At 52.3% G+C, this 19,427-nt stretch overlaps 1 protein-coding gene and 1 long non-coding RNA gene across 18 annotated transcripts in view, besides 2 other annotated features; one reads left to right on the top strand and one right to left on the bottom strand.

The window, feature by feature from the left end:
* Positions 1-19,427, top strand: part of SSBP3 (single stranded DNA binding protein 3) — a 188,059-nt gene that overhangs the window by 166,383 nt on the left and 2,249 nt on the right. For 14 of the 17 annotated variants that reach the window (NM_001394365.1, NM_001394366.1, NM_001394364.1 and 11 more), the window contains 8 exons: positions 3,809-3,873; positions 4,896-4,944; positions 5,599-5,634; positions 6,149-6,203; positions 7,909-7,979; positions 18,282-18,360; positions 18,631-18,659; positions 18,752-18,853. In NM_001394365.1, the coding sequence (NP_001381294.1) occupies positions 3,809-3,873; positions 4,896-4,944; positions 5,599-5,634; positions 6,149-6,203; positions 7,909-7,979; positions 18,282-18,360; positions 18,631-18,659; positions 18,752-18,853 (486 nt within the window). Of the gene's footprint in view, positions 1-3,784; positions 3,874-4,895; positions 4,945-5,598; positions 5,635-6,148; positions 6,204-7,908; positions 7,980-18,281; positions 18,361-18,630; positions 18,660-18,751; positions 18,854-19,427 lie in introns of all 17 variants that reach the window. The other 3 variants (NM_001394360.1, NM_001394367.1, NM_001394363.1) reach the window with 3 other exon arrangements.
* Positions 472-634: a silencer, noted in NCBI's record as "fragment chr1:54712147-54712309 (GRCh37/hg19 assembly coordinates)". NCBI's record gives its function as "represses an EF-1alpha promoter that drives an FKBP-Casp9 reporter gene in an ReSE screen in K562 erythroleukemia cells {active_cell/tissue: K562}" and the evidence as "EXISTENCE:reporter gene assay evidence [ECO:0000049][PMID:32094911]".
* Positions 7,914-8,414: an enhancer, noted in NCBI's record as "H3K4me1 hESC enhancer chr1:54704367-54704867 (GRCh37/hg19 assembly coordinates)". NCBI's record gives its function as "activates a minimal SCP1, AML or CMV promoter by ChIP-STARR-seq in naive H9 embryonic stem cells {active_cell/tissue: H9 hESC(naive)}" and the evidence as "EXISTENCE:reporter gene assay evidence [ECO:0000049][PMID:30033119]".
* Positions 8,045-10,665, bottom strand: SSBP3-AS1 (SSBP3 antisense RNA 1). The gene has a single exon (NR_103541.1). It is a non-coding gene; the product is annotated as an SSBP3 antisense RNA 1 (long non-coding RNA).

The following is a 19,427-nucleotide window of genomic DNA, read 5'->3' as shown; positions in this document are numbered from 1 at the left end:
TGGCGGAGTGCAAAGCTGAGACAGTGGCCCCTGTGAATGTGGCCAGCCCCACGGCTGCACTGGAGGCTCCTGCTCTCTGCCCAGCTGTCCCTGCCCCTGCAGAGCGGTGCCAGTGGCAGAGGGATACCTGGTTGGTAACCGACCCTTGTACAGCTTCACCGTCATCACCTCCAGCCACGTGGTGCTGCAGGCAGGCAGGCAGGAGCTGGCCAAAGAGGGAACCCGTTTCTACTGAGTCTGAACTTCTGGGCATTCCTGCCCTATGTGAGAAAACTTCGCTGCAAACCAGATTTCAGCCTGCTACTCGCTCCTGACATCTGTGTGGCCTTGGGCATGTCTCTGGCTTTCTGGGCCTTCAAGTTGTCATCTATGAAATGATGAGGTGCAAGTGGCTCTCCAGGGTCTGTGCCTCTATAGGCGGCAGGACTGGTGGAGAAGCTCCCTCTAGGAAGCTGCCATGCCGGTTCTTGGAGAGGCTCCTGAAGGCCAGGCAGGGTCAGGAGCGGCAGGATAGTGCACTTGGAGCCTCCCAGCTCAGCGCTGCGTACTGCATGTCAAGAGGGCTCTATGGAGTGAGCACCTGCTTATCATCTCCTCTCACCCCACTCCGTGCTGAGACATACCAGGCTTCTGCTCTTGTTCTGAGATGCAGGCCTTTCTCTTGGATGGGAGAGGCGGCTGCAGTCCTGGAAAAGAACTCCATCTGGAAGACCTCTCTAGTCAGCTGGGCTGTACACACAGTGGAGAATAGGCCTGGGGAGGTGGCAAGCTGCTTGTCCTGGAGCAGCAGGTGGGGAGATGAGGCTGAGATTTGTAGAGGGGATTAGAAAGGGCCCTTTGAGACCCAAGCTTCTGCAATGCTGCGGTAGCATTAAGGGCTTTGGTGTTTGTTCTGCTGCTGACGTCCCAAATCAGTGCACACCTCCTAGGGCTTACGGGGCACTTCAGAACCATTGTTTCATTTGATCCACTGGAGACCTGCAAGGTTGGAAACACATGGGGCTCTTTGTCCCCATTTTATAGACAAGGCAGCACAGCAGAGGGGATTGTGGGTCTAAAGCCAGAGCCATGCTGCAGGGCTTCACCCCAGCTCAGCCACGCACAACTGCACAGTGGGGTCATTCTTCCTCTCTACCTCAGTTTTCTGGTCTCTAAAGTGGGTGGAGGAAAGGGGTCATTGTGACGATTTATTGTAGGCAGTGCACACACAGTCTGTGGTACATGTGGGCATGGAATAAGCACTATTGTCATTTGGTAATTTGCCCAAAGTCACCAGCAGGCAGCCAAGCCAAGGCCAGCCTTCCTGTGTTCTGACCTCAGGTCTCGAGTTCTGCTCTTCACCCTGTGGTAGAGTGGGCTTGGCCCCAGCACATTCCCACAAGGCTGCCACTGTTTGCTTGAAGCCCATGCCCTGAGCAGCCACAGGGTGAGGCGGGGCCTGCCTTCTCTGGCTCCGGGTCTGGCTCTTTGTCAGCCAGCCTGGTGTTGCTCCTGAGATCATCTGCATCCTGTCTGGACATCCTTCCAGACTCCAAGCCTCTCTGTGGCTGAGCAAGCGGAGCAGGTGGCCCCAGGGTGGTGAGATTTGGAAGATGATCCCTGGATGCAGAACCCACTATCAGCCCAATATTGGCTCTGTGTGTGTCAGGCTCCAGGTCTCCATCTTCCCATTCTGTCCCCCTTCCCACCCGCCTCCCGCCAGTTTCTTGGCTAAGCATACAGAATCTGGGGGGCCGGCAGATCCAGGCTTAAATCCTAGCTGTCCATTTGCTCACTGCAACTTGAGGCAAAACTTTCTCCCTCAGACCTTCAGTCTCCTTTTCTGGGAGACTGAAGTGGGAACAATCCCAGCCTCCTGGAGTTTTCACACAGATCAAACAAGAGACTGTACATAAAGTGTGTCATGCACTCAGTAAAGGGCAGTGAATGCTGGCTGTTCCTTTGCCATCAAAATTCCAGCAACCTACTTCAAGTTCTCCTACAAGGGCAGAGCTTAAGCTGCAGCCAGGCTCCCTTTGGTCTTCATGCATTCCCTTCTTCGGTCTTTCATTGATTGCTTCAGTGCCAGCGTAGTGAGTGCCAGTCTGTGCCACTGGGTGCATGGGGTGGGGGGTATATGATCATCAAGACACAGCCCCACCTTCAAAGGGCACTTGGAGTCCACTAGGAGAGATGGGAGATGGACAGACACGTGGCCATGATCAGACCCAGTGTAGCATGGTGGCGGGGGAGGGAGGTTAGAAGGCATTGTGGGAGTAACAGGGCTGGAGCAGTCAGCCCGAAGGGGTGGGGTCAGGAGGGCTTCCTAGAGGAGCTGCTCTTGGAGCTGAGTAGGAGCCTGCCAAGCAGGGAGCAGGGAAGCAAGGCATGTATGACTGCAGGGAAAATGACACTTGGAGAGAGGGTCACGAGCAACACTGGCCTGGTTATATAGGAAGAGATGCGCGTGATACGAGGCCTGGTGCCTTGACCCACCCCGCTGTGCCTCAGTGGGCCGTCCTGAGCTGAATCTGGACTGCTGGGACTTCGTGAGTTCTGTGTAGACTTTTCTCTCAAACATTGGCTGGGCACAGTGGCTCACGCCTGTAATCCTGATACTTTCGGAGGCTGAAGTGGGAGGATCACTTGAGCCCAGGAGTTCGAGACCAGCCTGGGCAATGAAGGGAGACCCCATCTCTACAAAAAAATTTAAAAATTAGCTGGGCAGGCTGGGTGCGGTGGCTCACACCTGTAATCCCAGCACTTTGGGAGGCCAAGGTGGGTGGATCCTGAGGTAAGGAGTTCGAGACCAGCCTGGCCAACATGGTGAAACCCCGTCTCTACTAAAAATACAAATATCAGCCCGACATGGTCGTGGGCGCCTATAATCCCAGCTACTTGGGAGGCTGAGTAATGAGAATCGCTTGAACCTGGGAGGTGGAGGTTGCAGTGAACCGAGATCATGCCACTGCTCTCCTGCCTGGGCAACAAGAGTGAGACTTCATCTCCAAAAAAAAAAAAATCATCGAAAATTAGTTGGGCATGGTGGTGCATGACTGTAGTCCCAACTACATGAGAGGCTCAGGTGGGAGGATTGCTTGAGCCCAGGAGGTCAAGGCTGCAGTGAGTTATGATTGCACTACTGCACTCTAGCCTAGGCAACAGAGCAAGACGCTATCTCAACAAACAAAACAAAAAAAAACTCACACACACATAGTGATGATCCCTGAGTGCAGAAATGGAGTTTTCTCCGGCTTCCCAGCATCATGTCTGTGGAGGGCCTCTGATGCTGACACATGGGTGGGGTAGGACTACCACCTGGACCTGGGGCAGGTTGGCGTGTCTGTATGTGCCAGGCCTGGGCCTGCACCAGCCTCGGGCAGGCTTCTCAGGAGTGCCTGCTCCCATCCACATTGACACTCACCCCTCGCCTCCCTGCCTCCTCACCTCAGAGCCTCTCAATGGGTTCCAAGACCAAGTCCATCCCCTCTTACCCGCCTGAGCCCAGGGGGAAGGTACAGGATGACATCATGGGAGCCCAGAGAGGGCAGCGGCTTGCTGGATAGCCACATGTTTTTGAGAACTTCATCTTGAAAGCTCCTGAAAATGCACTGAATGTTGTGACTGTCCCTCTGTGCTGGCTTGTCATTGTGGTCCCTGTGACTTGGTTCCCACCCGCCCCACCGTTTTTGAAAGAATGTATTATTTTTTCTCATCAATCCTTTTCACAGACTAACCCTCTCACTATGTTTTGTCTGTTTGTTTCTCCTCCCTCCTCCTGTCTCCGGTTCCCTTCTTCTCATAGACTGACCCTTGGTTATCGTTGCAGAATTACGGCAGCGGCATGAGACCACCACCCAACTCCCTCGGCCCCGCCATGCCCGGGATTAACATGTAAGGCAAAAACGACCCGGCCCGTGGCTCAGAGTCCAGGTCTTCCCCCACCCTCTGCCAGCACCCTGGGAGACTCATGATAAGGGGTCATTGCTGGTACCTCTCTGGACCTCAGTCTCCTCATCGGTAATGTGAGGATATTGATGATCCTGGTGATGAGAGCTCAGCCTCATAGAGTGCCTCTGTGTGCCGGGCACGGTTCAGGCATGCTGCGTGCATCAGCTCACCTCATCTTCATGATTACCCTATGACGCGATGATTTTTATTTTTATTTTTATTTTTTTTGAGACAGAGTCACATTCTGTTGTCCAGGCTGGAGTACAGTGGCACAATCTTGGCTTACTGCAATCTCCGCCTCCCGGGTTCAAGCGATTCTCCTGCCTCAGCCTCCTGAGTAGCTGGTGTTACAGGCTCCCGCCAACATGCCTGGCCAATTTTTGTATTTTTAGTAGAGACGGGGTTTCACCATGTTGGCCAGGGTGGTCTCGAACTCCTGACCTCAAATGATCTGCCCGCCTCAGCCTCCCACAGTGCTAGGATTACAGGTGTGAGCCACCGTGCCCGGCCTGACGCGGTTATTATTATAACCCCCTTACAGATGAGGTCACCAAGGCACAGAGAGGTGAAGTAACTTGCCCAGGCTCACACAGCTTTCAGTGGCAGGGTCAAGAGTTGAACCTCTGGACAGTGTAGCCACTGTTCTCTAGTGCATTTGTGATTTTTAACCCTGTTGTGAGAATGTGGACTCCCTTCCTAGGAAAATGCACATGCAAAGGGAATTTCACATATTTTTTATCTAATTTTATATACTTTGTAAAGTTTACCTATAATTTAAAGCAATTCATAGATTTCCACCCATGAAGTTACCCATTACTGCCCTGAGCCAGAAGGCTCTAAACCGCAGGGCTGTAGGAAGGACTTCCTGTTGTGATTTCAGCCCTTTCCTTCTGCCCCTGCTGCCTCCACCGCTTGGAGTTTACAGCGCCTTTTTCATTGTCCACATCTCTTTCTCCCTCTCTCAGGGGCCCGGGAGCTGGCAGACCCTGGCCCAATCCTAACAGTGCTAACTCAGTGAGTACCTGGGTCGGGTGGGGTGGTGTTTGTCAGGGGAGCGGTTCTGGGTGCAGGGGAGCTACTGTCCCTGGGTGTAGGTGTCACGGGAAGTGGGAGATGCAGCAGGACTCTCCTGATGCTTCTAGGGAGAAGGCCGTGTGGAGGTGGAGGCCTGGGAGTAATGTGCAGGGGTCATCAAGGGCTCCACCCCTGCCCTGCCTGCCCAGCCAGCCCACTCCTCTAAGGAGTAAGCTGAGAACCTGGGCTCAGAGAGCACTGTTCAGAGTGGAGACCTCTACCCATCTCCTCCCCAGCAGGGCTGGAAGGTGCGGGTAAGGTGCTCCACACAGACAGTGGGGTGAAGGCCAGAGGAATGTGGGGTAAAGCTGTTTCCTGCCCTCTCAAACCGGAGGGCCTTCTATGTCCTCCCTGTGTCTGTGGCTCCCTCCCAGGACTGGGGAGTAAGAGACCAGGGTCTCAGGGTCAGTTCAATGTAGCAGAGAGAACTGGGCTTCAGCCACGTCCCAGCCCTCCCAGGGGAACCAAGTGGGTGGCCAGCTCACTGGGTGGCGATGCCTTTCCTGTGAAGAGTGGGTCGTGTCCTCAGGGAGGTTTGGCAGCTGAGGGCACTCAGTGACTCTGACGTGGGGCTCCCTGACATCTTGTTTTTAGATTCCATACTCCTCCTCATCACCTGGTACCTATGTGGTAAGTGTGTGGGTTTGGGGCATTGCATGTCTAGCCACGTGGGACTGAGTGTGCAAGAGAACTGGTCTGGGGTCCCCGTTTCTTTCCCTTTCACACATTCTTCTGAGCAGAGGTTCCAAACTGCTAGAACTTGCTGTCAATATTCAGTCATCTGTACAGACCCAAGGTGGCCCAGAAATCCCCAAACCAGACCTGGGGGTGGAATTGCCTTCTGGGGAGCTGACCAGTGGGCTGCTTGGCGTCCACCGCAGGCCTCTCTAGTGGGCATGCCTGTGAGCACATAATGCAGGCACACACACCCACAGGGGCCGCTTGGTCTGAAGAAAGGGACAGGGGACATCCAGGTCCCCTTCTCAAGCTTGAGTACTTTGAGTGAGCGCTGGGGGTGTAGCAAGATGAATAGCGGCTGGGCCTGGGGCGAGCAGTTGCTGCTGACCAGGGAGGGAGGATGCCGGCCCCTCCCCATGTTCGTTACCACCGTGGGTGTCTGATGTCAGTTTTGTCTCATCTTTAGGGACCCCCTGGTGGTGGCGGTCCTCCAGGAACACCCATTATGCCCAGTCCCGCAGGTAAGAGCGCTTGAGGGGAAAGTGGGGGGTCTGGTGGTGGAGGGTGGGGCATGTTGCCAGAGAGACCTGGAGGGGCACTGTTGCAGAGCCAGAGCTTACCAGCCACTCCTTCCTGGGCAGCACATCTTCCACTGGGCATTTAGAGGGCAGGGGGTCCCTTGATGACACTAACCTACTCCTCTGATGCTGCTCCATAAAGGACAGGGCTGAGCAGAGCAGTCCAGGAACAGGGATTCTCGTTGCCTTTGAATCCCTTTTGTTGGGAAGAACCCTGTTCAGGGTGGGCATTTCCCCAAATGACTCAAAAAGGGGCCTTGGGGTTCTGCCATCCTGGGACCAGGATTCTGAGGCATGCTACCTTTGGAGTTTCCGTAGCTCCTGGCTTCTGGTCCTCTATATAGGAGATCCCTTCTCCCCCCCGCCCCCCCCCCCTTTTTTTTTTCTTTTTTGAGGTAGAATCTTGCTGTCACCCAGGCTGGAGTGCAATGGCGTAATCTCAGCTCACTGCAATCTCCACCTCCCAGGCTCAAGCGATTCTCCTGTCTCAGCCTCCCAAGTAGCTGGGATTACAGGCACGCACCACCATGCCCGGCTAATTTTTGTATTTTTAGTAGAGATGGGGTTTCACCATGTACCCAGGCTGGCCTTGAACTCCTGACCTCAGGTGATCCACCCGCCTCAGCCTCCCAAAGTGCTGGGATTACAGGCATGAGCCACCACACCCAGCCCTCCCTGTTTCTTTAAACAAAAGAGGGCATGCGTGCACATACGTGGGCATGTGTTGCGCGCGCGCGCGCACGCACACGCGCGCGCGCGCACACACACACACACACACACACACACACACACACACACACCCCATCACAATTATGTTTCTTTCCCAGCTAAGAATAGCATACCAGCCAGCTAGAAGGAATTCAACATACGATCCTTACCCACCCCAAAAATAAAAAGTGAGAGGTAGCTGGATTTCTGCCCAAGAATTACAGCGCCTGCTCCTGATAGAAACGTTTTAGCTGGAGACTTTTTTGGCTAACTGGGGAGATGGAGGGGACTCTCCCCCGCCCCCTCCTCGGCTCCCCATAGCAGGGAAGCTGCTCAGCTGCAGGGGTGGAGCTGGCCGCAGCCGGGATCCTGGGCTCCCACTCCGGCTCTCTCTTTCTGCTGCTGCATTTTGATGAGCTGCATGACCTACATTCCGACTGGGCCACATGCACCCACTCCATATGTGAATGCGTTTCCAGCCCCATCCCTGCCTCTCCCTCCTGCCCCATCAGCCTGGCAGGGTGGCCTCTGGGTAATTTGCCACGTTTCCCTTTCCCTGATTTGATTAAAACCACTTTGTAGGGTGGTGGGAGAGCACAGGTGGTGGGAGGAGAGCACAGGTGGTGGTTCTGCTGCCCCCATGTTGTCCCAGGCAGTGTCTGGGGACCAGATTCGGTGTGGGGTGGGGAGACAAGAATTTGAACCCGTAATCCCCCTGTGCCGTGTCCACACTGCTGGGGTTGAGTGGTTTTCACAGTTGAATTTTCTGTGATTAAAAACTTTGTGAATCTTCATTAAATACAAATTAGCCAGAAAATGGTGGTACTTAGAGGAAATTTTAGGTTATAAAATACAAAAGAATGAGTTCCAGTGCCATGAGTTTGTTTTAATTAAGAAACGAATTAATCACCCCGACTTGTGGGTTTCCACTGTTCTACAGATTCAACAAATTCCAGTGACAACATCTACACAATGATTAATCCAGTGCCGCCTGGAGGCAGCCGGTCCAACGTAAGTCTGCTTTCTAATAATTTACATATCAGACACCATAACAAATCATAATTAACTTCATCAGCTGAGGGGAAAGCAAGTTTAATTGATTTCAGCCATTTGTTACCAAAGATGAATAAAATAAACCGTCAGAAAAGTGATTAACTCTTGGGCAACTCAGTTCCCATTTCATGGGCGGCAGGGGGTGGGAGAGGAAGGGGTGGGACGATGCCCACCCTCTGGTTAGAGCCAGGGTGCCCGCTGTGCTGCTGGGACTTGCCACCTCCTGCCGTGCTGGTGGGGGAAGCGCCATGCTGTAGGTGGGGTCTGGCCTGGTCTCTGCCCAGCAAACTGGCTGTGGCCCGGGCAATCCCTCTCCTCCTGGGTCTGTTTCTGGGGCTATGGAGTTGAGGGTGGAGCCAGCAGCAAGGGGACAGGGCTCGCTGGGGGACCCGCCTGCCTGTGCTGCTGCCAGGAGCTCTGGAACTCCCAATACCTGGCAGCTTCTTTGCCTCTCAGAGTTGCAGCCCTTGGGTGATGTTGCAGCTCACATTTCCCCATTTCTGATTACTGCTTGCCCCACTTCCTCCTGTGTCCCCTGCACCCACTGGATGGGACTTGGTTAGTCAGCTGCAGCCTGTCTCCTCACCCAGGGGGCGTTGCCCGAGGTCGGGGCCTGATCTGCTTCCCCTCCACAGGCAACCCTTCCATTCTAGTTCCTTCCCTTCCTCCTCCATGCAGGCCTCAGGTGAACCTGTTCAGCCTTGCCCCTCCAGGAGCTCAGGGTCTGAAAAGGAGGTCTACAGACTGTAGAGCCAGAGAGTGGGCCTGGGGCCCTAAAGTGCGAGGCTTTGGCCTGGTTGAGGGGGTAGGGCCTTTTGGGGCACTCTGGTTTTGTTGGCTCCGTTCCTGAGGTGACACCCGGATCACCCCACGTGTTAAACCCCGAGCGCGGGCTGCCCTGTGCTGGATATTGCCTACATCCAGCAGCCCTCTGAGGGATGGTTTCTGGCCTGCCTCCGTTGCCAGGGTCCTCACTGGTGTGACCAACCATCTGGCTTTTAACACTAAAAAGCCCCACATCCTGAGGAATCCCAGGACACAGAAAGTCCTGGGTTTTGTCAGTGATGCAGAAGGTTGGGTGGAAAGTATGAAACCCACACAGAGGGATGACAGCACCATTTGTAGCATCGGATGGAAATGGCGTGGATGATCTGCCTCGAGTGGTCACTGTCGCCATGTTGCCTGACGTGGATGCTGGCATCAGGACTTGTGATTCACCATGGATCACATCACTCAGGCTGCAACTCCGCACGCTGCAGTCATGCATGTTAGCAGCACTTGCCTAGGAGTCTGCTGCAGATTCAGTGTTGGGCTTTTTGTCTAGACGGTGCTGGTTTCAGTCTTGACATCATGAATATTGTGACTGTATTTCCTAAGAGTTCAGATGATGAAAATGAGAACGGTGACAATGACAGCACCAGCGTGACCCAGGCATCACTGGGAAAGAAGGTTAAATGACCATGTTACTTTAATGACAGATGCAAGGACACACACAACTGGATTAGGGAGGAAAGAACCCAAACAGAATGTACTGCGCGGTGTGCAGAAAAGAATGTGAGAAATGGCATATGGAGAAGGGGAGGTGGAGGCACATTGGACATTGAGTCTCTCAAGTCTGAGGCATATCTTTCTAAATCAAGGTTTTTTTGACCTCCAAAGAGACAGCAGTTCTCAGTCAAAAACAGTGGTCGCAGAATTAGCTTGGGCGCACTCCTTGAATGGACGCCATTATCATCTTGTTCCCTTGATTGCACCGCAAACCAAGAAGGTTACATTTCCTGATTCGGAGGTTACAAACTAAAAGTCCTGTGTGTGAACCAAAGGACGAGGGACTTTCAGTAACAGATGCATTGCCCCTTTACAGTAGTGCTGACCCTGTCTGATCCTTCCAGCATTCGTGCTTCCGAGTGCGTCAAGGGCTGCCTGAAGTCATGGCTACAGGTTTCCGCTAGCTCTTAGGTATGTTGATTTGAAAACTGGAGTTTCAGATCGTCTTCTCGATTTCTGTGAAGATTTTAGTGAAGCCACTGAAGACGTAAGAGATTGTTGTTCTCTTGTCCAAATACAACCTAGACTTTGCTCATTTATCTACATATTTGGCAGACAGTACACAGTTAATTTGAGCAAATTTCATTTAGTCCATAAGCTTCTTACCAATGAAAATGAAAACATCTTACCTGCTAAATGTTCACACCTCGTACCCGACACTGTCACAAAGGGGTGTAATTTGCTTACCTGTGATACCAGCTTTCATAATGAAAGTTTTGGGTCACCTTTCGGTTTCCTCAAAACATGCCAAAGCACTTAATGAGATCTTTGACTTTATAGACAGGAGAATGCCTCAGACACGTTTCCACAAGATGACTATCATTGCTGGCCATAGAAAAGATGTTAAAATGTTGGCTTGCCATGAAAACTGCTATTTTTTAAAGTGTGAGACAAGAAGGATGTCCTTCTCTAATTTGGAAATGCATTGAGATGAGAATGGAAAAAGGAATTACAATAAAATACAGGCCAGGCACGTTGGCTTACGCCTGTAACCCGAGCACTTTGGGAGGCCAAGGTGGGAGGATCACTTAAAGCCACAAATTCAAGACCAACCTGGGTAACAAAGCAAGACATCCTCACCATCTCTGCAACAAAAAAATAAAAATAAAAAATACATAGGCTGGGCGCGGTGACTCACACCTGTAATCCCAGCACTTTAGGAGGCCGAGGTGATCAGATCACTTGGGGTCCGTCGGGAGTTAAAGACCAGCCTGGCAAACATAGTAAAACACCATATCTACTAAAAAATACAAACATTAGCTAGGTGTGGTGGTACATGTCTGTAGTCCCAGCCACTCGGGAGGCTGAGGCAGGAGAATCGCTTGAGCCTGGGAGGTGGAGGTTGCAGTGAGCCGAGATCACACCACTGCACTCCAGCCTGGGTGACAGAATGAGACTCCGTTTCAAAGAAAAAAAAAATACATAAACACATTAAAAATAAAATAGAAATGTATATACTGTTTTGCCAGTACTCTCTGATGCTCCTTAAGGAGCCCCGAGGAGCCTAGATGGGGCTAGCCAGCCACACTTGGATTGGAGAGGGGGCCACAAAACCTCATACAGCAGGAATAATGACCCATTTAATGCTTGAGAACTCAAAAAATGTCACCAGAAAAGGCAGTCAAGTTAAACAGGACTTTATCAATTTCTTCATTAAAACTATAACATATTTGGAATCCAACTTGGATTTTGCAACTTCAGATTACCTCTGTGCTTTAAAATCATTTTTTATAACAATTTTAATTTATAACATCCATTGTGCTTTGGAGTGTTAAAAAATGATGGACATCTGGCCGGGCACGGTGGCTCATGCCTGTAATCCGAGCACGTTGGGAGGCCGAGGTGAGAGGATCACTTGAGGTCAGGAGTTCCAGCCTGACCAACATGGTGAAACCCCGTCTCTACTAAAAATACGAAAATTAGCCAGGCGTGGTGGCTGGTGCCTGTAATCCCAGCTACTCAGGAGGCTGAGGCAGAATTGCTTGAACCCGGGAGGCGGAGGTTGCAGTGAGCTGAGATTGCAACGCTGCGCTCCAGCCTGGGTGACAGAGTGAGACTCCATCTCAAAAAAAAAAAAAAAAAAAAAAAAATCAGCCGGGCATGGTGGTACACGCCTATAGTCCCAGCTACTCAGGAGGCTGAGTCAGGAGAATCGCTTGAACCTGGGAGGTGGAGGTTGCAGTGAGCAGAGATCGTGCCATTGCACTCCAGCCTGGGCAGCAGAGTGAGACTCTGTCTCAAAAAAAAAAAAAAAAAAAAAAAAAACTGGACATCTTAGACAGGGATAGCCCATCTGATGAATTACAGATGCAAAGGCCTGATTGACAAGCAGCTGGTCCTCCAAAGCCAGCCCCTGGACAAAAATGGATGGACATCTTTGGAGAGATGGACGTGAATTCCTACAAGTCCCAAAACCTGTGCTTATAAGTAAAACCGGAGGTACTTTGTGTATAAGGGTTGTGTGGAGAGGATATTTAGTTTGGTGGTACCGTGTTAGGTGACACTAGGAGTCAGTGTAACATGGGCTTTGAATAAACAGAGTGACAAGTCAAATGGATTTTAAGTTTGACTATATTCCGTTTTACCAGTGCATTTAAAAGAAAGGTGTTCTAAGCTGGGTACAGTGGTGTATGCCTGTAGTCAGCTACTCGGGAGGCTGAAGCGGGAGGATTGTTTGAGCTTAGGAATTTAAGGCTGCAGTGAGCCATGATCATGCCACTGCACTCCAGCCTGGATGACAGAGCCAGACTCCATCTCTTTTTTTTTTTTTCTTTTATAAAAAGGATGTCCTAAAGGCTATAAAGGCTTCAGGCAATTCAGAGACCAGTGGGAAAGAAAGCAGAGCAGAATGTTCTAATGTATCCTAGGGCAGAAAGAAACATTGTTATTTTTTATTTAAATATTAGTAATGTTTGTTTCATTAATCCTATTATGTTTGTTTGTTTGTCTGTTTAGAGATAGGGTGTCTGTCACCCAGTCTAGAGGGCAGTGTCACAGTCATGGCTCACTGCAGCTTCAGCATCTGGGGCTGAAGGGATTCCTCCCACCACAGCTTCCTGAGTAGCTGGGACTACAGGCACGTGCCACCACACCCGGCTAATTTTATTTGTTGTTGTAGAGATGAGGTCTCACTATGTTGCCCCTAATTTATTTTTTATTTTTTATTTTTATTTATTTTTTTTAATTTATTTTTTTATTGATAATTCTTGGGTGTTTCTCACAGAGGGGGATTTGGCAGGGTCATGGGACAATAGTGGAGGGAAGGTCAGCAGATAAACAAGTGAACAAAGGTCTCTGGTTTTCCTAGGCAGAGGACCCTGCGGCCTTCCGCAGTGTTTGTGTCCCTGATTACTTGAGATTAGGGAGTGGTGACGACTCTTAACGAGCATGCTGCCTTCAAGCATCTGTTTAACAAAGCACATCTTGCACCGCCCTTAATCCATTTAACCCTGAGTGGACACAGCACATGTTTCAGAGAGCACAGGGTTGGGGGTAAGGTCACAGATCAACAGGATCCCAAGGCAGAAGAATTTTTCTTAGTGCAGAACAAAATGAAAAGTCTCCCATGTCTACTTTCTACACAGACACGGCAACCATCCGATTTCTCAATCTTTTCCCCACCTTTCCCGCCTTTCTATTCCACAAAGCCGCCATTGTCATCCTGGCCCGTTCTCAGTGAGCTGTTGGGCACACCTCCCAGACGGGGTGGTGGCCGGGCAGAGGCGCCCCTCACCTCCCGGACAGGGCGGCTGGCCGGGCAGGGGGCTGACCCCCCCACCTCCCTCCCGGACGGGGCAGCTGGCTGGGCGGGGGGCTGACCCCCCCACCTCCCTCCCAGACGGGGCGGCTGGCCGGGCAGAGGGGCTCCTCACTTCCCAGTAGGGGCGGCCGGGCAGAGGCGCCCCTCACCTCCCGGACGGGGCGGCTGGCCGGGCAGGGGGCTGACCCCCCCACCTCCCTCCCCGACGGGGCGGCTGGCCGGGCGGGGGGCTTACCCCCCCCACCTCCCTCCCGGACGGGGCGGCTGGCCGGGCGGGGGGCTGACCCCCCACCTCCCTCCCAGACGGTGTGGCTGCCAGCCGGAGACGCTCCTCACTTCCCAGATGGGGTGGCTGCCGGGCGGAGAGGCTCCTCACTTCTCAGACGGGGCAGCTGCCGGGCAGAGGGGCTCCTCACTTCTCAGACGGGGCGGCCGGGCAGAGACGCTCCTCACCTCCCAGACGGGGTCGCGGCCGGGCAGAGGCGCTCCTCACATCCCAGATGGGGTCGCGGCCGGGCAGAGGCGCTCCTCACATCCCAGATGGGGCAGCGGGGCAGAGGCGCTCCCCACATCTCAGACGATGGGTGGCCGGGCAGAGACGCTCCTCACTTCCTAGATGTGATGGCGGCCGGGAAGAGGCGCTCCTCACTTCCTAGATGGGATGGCGGCCGGGCGGAGACGCTCCTCACTTTCCAGAGTGGGCAGCCAGGCAGAGGGGCTCCTCACATCCCAGACGATGGGTGGCCAGGCAGAGACACTCCTCACTTCCCAGACGGGTGGCGGCCGGGCAGAGGCTGCAATCTCGGCACTTTGGGAGGCCAAGGCAGGCGGCTGGGAGGTGGAGGTTGTAGCGAGCCGAGATCACGCCACTGCACTCCAGCCTGGGCACCGTTGAGCACTGAGTGAACGAGACTCCGTCTGCAATCCCGGCACCTCGGGAGGCCAAGGCTGGCGGATCACTCGCGGTTAGGGGCTGGAGACGGCCCGGCCAACACAGCGAAACCCCGTCTCCACCAAAACCAGTCAGGCGTGGCGGCGCGTGCCTGCAATCGCAGGCACTCGGCAGGCTGAGGCAGGAGAATCAGGCAGGGAGGTTGCAGTGAGCTGAGATGGCAGCAGTACAGTCCAGCTTCGGCTCCGCATGAGAGGGAGACCGTGGAAAGAGAGGGAGACCGTGGGGAGAGGGAGAGGGCCCCTAATTTATTTGTTGATGTAGAGATGAGGTCTCACTATGTTGCCCAGGTTGTTTTTGCACTCCTGGGCTCAGGTGATCCTCCTGCCTCAGCCTCCCAAAGGGATTACAGGTGCGAGCCACCATGCTTGGCCTATGTTTTATTTTAAAAAAACATAAATAATAAGCCAGGTGCAGTGGCTCGAGCCTGTAGTCCCAGCTATTCAGGAGGCTGAGGCAGGTGGATCACTTGAGTGCACTCTAGCTTGGGTGACAGAGCAAGACCTCATCTCTAAAAAATAATTAATGTAATATAGCCTATCAAATTTAAGTATTCGAGCAAAAAGTTATTTCTGTATCAGAGGACAGAAACGTTATAAAAATATTAATATTTTTCCTCATACATATCAATCATTTAACTAGTCCACCTCCTAATTGCTACTAATTGCCGCTGTTAACAGTTCCTATTGTTGTTTACATAATAGCATTAATCTAATGGAAAAGTAAATAATACAGAATAAATGATGCTGAGACAACTGAATATCCACATGTGGACAAATGAGATTGAACTGTGTCCTTACAGCAGTACACAAAAGTTAAAGTAGATCATAGGGGGCCGGGCATGGTGGCTCACACCTATAATCCTAGCACTTTGGGAGGCCGAAACAGGTGGATCATTTGAGGTCAGGAGTTTGAGACCAGCTTGGCCAATGTGGTGAAACCCTGTCTCTACTAAAAATACAAAATTAGCCAGGTGTGGTGGCGCGCACCTGTAGTCCCAGCTACCTGGGAGGCTGACGCATGAGAATCGCTTGAACCCAGGAGGCGGAGGTTGCAGTGAGCCAAGATCACGCCACTGCACTCCAGCCTGGCCGACAGAGTGAGAACCCGTCTCAAAAATAAATTAAAAAATAATAAAAAATAAAACAAAGTAGACCATAGATCTAAATGTTAGAGCTGAAACTACAAAACACTTGAAGTAAATACAGGAGTAAATCTTCATGACCTGAGTTAAGCAAAGCCTTCTTAGATGCAAGACCAAAAGCACAAGTAGCAAAAGAAAAAAGTAGACAAACTGGACTTCATCGGAGATTAAGATTTGTGCTTCAAAGGACACCATCAAGGAAGTAAAAAGACAAACCACAGAATGGAGAAAATAAATCATGTGTCTGATAAGGGACTTGAATTCAAAATACATAAAGAACTCTTAGAAAAACTCAGTAATAACCCAATTTAAAAATGGGACAAGGATCTAAATGGACATTTCTCCAAAAATTACAAATAGCCAGTAAGCACATGAGAAGATGCTCAGCATCGTTAGTCATTAGGAAATGCAAATCAAAACCACAGTGAGATGGCACTTCACACCCACTAGGACGGCTGTAGTAAAAAAGATAATGACTGGTGTTGGCGAGGGTGTGGAAGCATTGGAACTCTCAGACACTGCTCGTGGGAATGTAAAATGGCACAGCTGCTTTGTTAAACAGTTTGACGTTTCCTCGAAAGATCAGACAGCCTAGTGATGTCTGCTGTGATATGGTAATTGGGTTACCCTATGACCCAGCAGTTCTCCTCCTAGGTATCTGCCCAAGAGAAATGAAAACGTATGTCCACACGGCAGACATGAGTGTCATTACATCAGTGTCATTAGTCATAATAGTCAGACAGTGAAAATAACCTGAACGTTCCTTCTGCTGATGAATGGATAAATGAAATGTGGTATATCCATACGGTGGACTACTTTTTGACCATAGGAAGGAATAAAGTACTGATTGATGTGACAACACTGATGAACCTTGAAAACATGCTAAGTGAAAGAAACCAGCCACAAAAGCTCACGTGATTCTATGTATATGACATGTCCAGGATAGGCAAATCCATGGACAGAAAGTAGATTAGTGTTTGCCTGGGGCCGGGGGCGTTGGAGGAGGACAGAAATGACTGCAGTCGGGTACAGGATTTCTTTCTGAGGTTATGGAAACGTTCAAAATTGGTTGTGGTGATGGTTGCACAACCCTGTAAATATACTGAAAACCACTGAATTGTACTTAAATGGGTCAGTTATATGCTCTGTGAATTATATCTCAATAAAACTTAATATACAGAAAGTATACAATAATATGTCATTTTGAAGAAATACTTGTTTCTTAATACATTGATGTTAAAGTAGCGACATATTCATGTTAAGGTAATGACATACATGTGCATAAATCTGTATTATCATGTTTGGGGATTTTGGGGGTCTGGCATGGCTGTGTCCTGGGTTGGCTCCCTAGAAAGCTGGTTACTTTCATCCTCCTATCACTTAGGTTAATAAGCATGAAATTGGTTGCTAGATGGCAAAATGTGCCCAAAAGCCTGTGAGCTGCTTTGGTGGGGGGCCCACTGGAGAGGCAAGGATGCGCCACCCCTCCCCCAGTCTGGGTGGGCACGGGGAAGCAGCTCATACCCTAGCTGTGCCCCTGCAGCCTGGTCACAGCCTTACCCCTTACACCCCTTTCTGTGCTCTGGCACGCCATGCTGCCACCCACTTGGTAGCCTTCTGCTCATGTGGGACCCCTGCCTTAGAGTGATTTCCGCGATGGGCTCTGCCTGCCCAGATTTTACCCCTCAATTTTGTTGATGCTCTCTTCCTCCTCCAGGCAGCCGGTTCTGATTTCTCTGCCTTGCTCTGAAGCCGCAGCTGTACTTTGCAGCTGTCTTTGGAAGTCAGCATCTCTGTCCTCCTGTGGGGTAGTTGGGTATCCGTGAGCTGCTCCTCTGGGCTGGGGCTCAGGTGTGACTCAGCTCTGCGTCTGTGGCACCCAGTCCCGGCCAGGTGCCAAACAGCCCTCCATTCCACCACCTCCACTCCCTTCCCACTCGATGCAGATGCAGTCTGCATCACAGGGCCTTGGCGCTCCAGGCTGGGCTCAGCCGCCCCTCCCCAGCCCCGTGACTCGTGGCTGTGGGATGTGACCTTTCTGGTCTTCCTTTCCGAGAAGGGTTTGATAGTTCCAGATAGGCTTGTGGGTGGGTAGAATCGACTCTTATCTCCAAGCCCTCATCTGCCACACCAACAGTTCTGCATGGGAGCCTCATCAGTGACCTCCTGCCACCACCCCACAGTCCCAGGGTGCCATGCAGTGCCTCCAGGGCCAGTGCCCTAGCTCTCTCTTCCCCACCACTCATCAAACCCCACCTCTTCTCACCGCCCAGCCCCAGGAAACATCTTCATTTCTAATTTCTTCCTTTTGTTAACTTGGGAGAGGGCCAGCATGACAGCTCCAGGCCTGCTGCCAGGTTCCAGTCCCAGCTCCTCCACCTCCAGCCTCTGGGACCTCAAGCAAAGCGTTTCCTCTCACTGCTTCTGTTTCCTCACCTGTGAAGTGGGGATGAGAAGCACAGATGTTTTGGTCCCTGGCCTGACATGGTCGGAGAGCTGTCCACATGTGCCTCTGTCTGGGGAACCACACTCTCCACACGGGGGATGGAGAGGGCCCTGTGGTGGGATCCGAGAGGCTCAGTTTCAGAGGTGCCTCTGTGTGGAGTTGGGTGGCAGTGGGCCAGTCCCTCTCCCTCACCTGGGTCATTGGAATGAGCACCTCTGCCCTGCAGCTTAGAGGGCCGAGGTGAGGACCCTGGCCCAGCTGCCAGGCAGGACATGTCCGAGTGTGAGCAGAGCCTGCCGGAGCAGGGGTTCCCCAGGGCCAGGACTCAAGCGTGGCTGCAGCCCCCTGCCTGTGAGGGGTGCAGAGGGCCAGGGCCCGCTGAGCTGCCATGCCCTGTGCTTCTTCCCCAGTTCCCGATGGGTCCCGGCTCGGACGGTCCGATGGGCGGCATGGGTGGCATGGAGCCACACCACATGAATGGATCATTAGGTGAGTGGCCCCTGCCCTCGCCATGCCCCACCCTGCCTGGGCAGCCAGCTCTGTGCCTCAGCTCCTGGCTCAGCTGGGCTTGGTACAGAGCCCTGGCCGGCCTTGGCTGGGCACACAGGACGATCCTGAGAGGGATGCCGCACAGAAAGCCCTCCGCACAGTGTGGGACTGGGATGGAAGGGCTTAGAGGCCCGAGGAGCCCAGGACGAGGGGAGACCCCTCCGTGGAAGAGCAAGCAAGAAACTGAATTGGATTATTTTTTCTTTCCAGGGTCAGGCGACATAGACGGACTTCCAAAAGTGAGTGTGCACTCGGTCTCCCTGGCGGCGCCCCATCTGTGTGGGCAGGTTGTTGGGGACACAGGTGCTCACCTCCTCTCCTCTTTCCACAGAATTCTCCTAACAACATAAGTGGCATTAGCAATCCTCCAGGCACCCCTCGAGATGACGGCGAGCTAGGAGGGAACTTCCTCCACTCCTTTCAGAACGACAATGTAAGCCTCGCCCCCTGCCTGTTGCTCTCGTCCCCACGGCCTGGGGACTCTTTCCTAACAAGTTGCGAGCTACGGAGCCGGGCTGCAGCCTGCCAGCTAAGCTGGTGGCCGTGTTATGGTTTTTCCACCTCAGTTATTTTTTTAGCAGAAGTGTGCAGCCTTGACGCTGCCCTGAGACTGCCTGCTGGTGGGGCCTTCTGGAGGCAGCTCCATGCAGGCTGGATGCCTCTGGCACTGATTAAGCTGATACGGCCGGGAGAGCCCTGGGCTGAGAGAGTTGGGGCAGTATTGCCCCACGGGTCCATTTCCATCTGTCCAGTGGGGAAAGGTTCGTGCAGCCAACGATTTTCAGGGCTCTCAACACGGGTTGGCTGTCTGCTTTTCTATAGTGGGCTTCTGTGTGCATTCTCATTTGAAGAAACAGTGTTATGATTAAGCAGCTTTCAAGAACCCCAGACTGCCAGCCTGGGCAACATGGTGAAACCTCATCTCTACATAAAAATACAAAAATTAGCCGGGTGTAGTGTCGCATGCCTATAGTCCCAGCTACTTGGGAGGCTAAGGTGGGAGGATT

Source organism: Homo sapiens, chromosome 1, assembly GCF_000001405.40.
Source record: "Homo sapiens chromosome 1, GRCh38.p14 Primary Assembly".
Classification (NCBI taxonomy): Eukaryota; Metazoa; Chordata; class Mammalia; order Primates; family Hominidae; genus Homo; species Homo sapiens.
The sequence above is the reverse complement of the archived record's forward strand: the minus strand, read 5'-3'. Positions and strand labels throughout refer to the sequence as shown.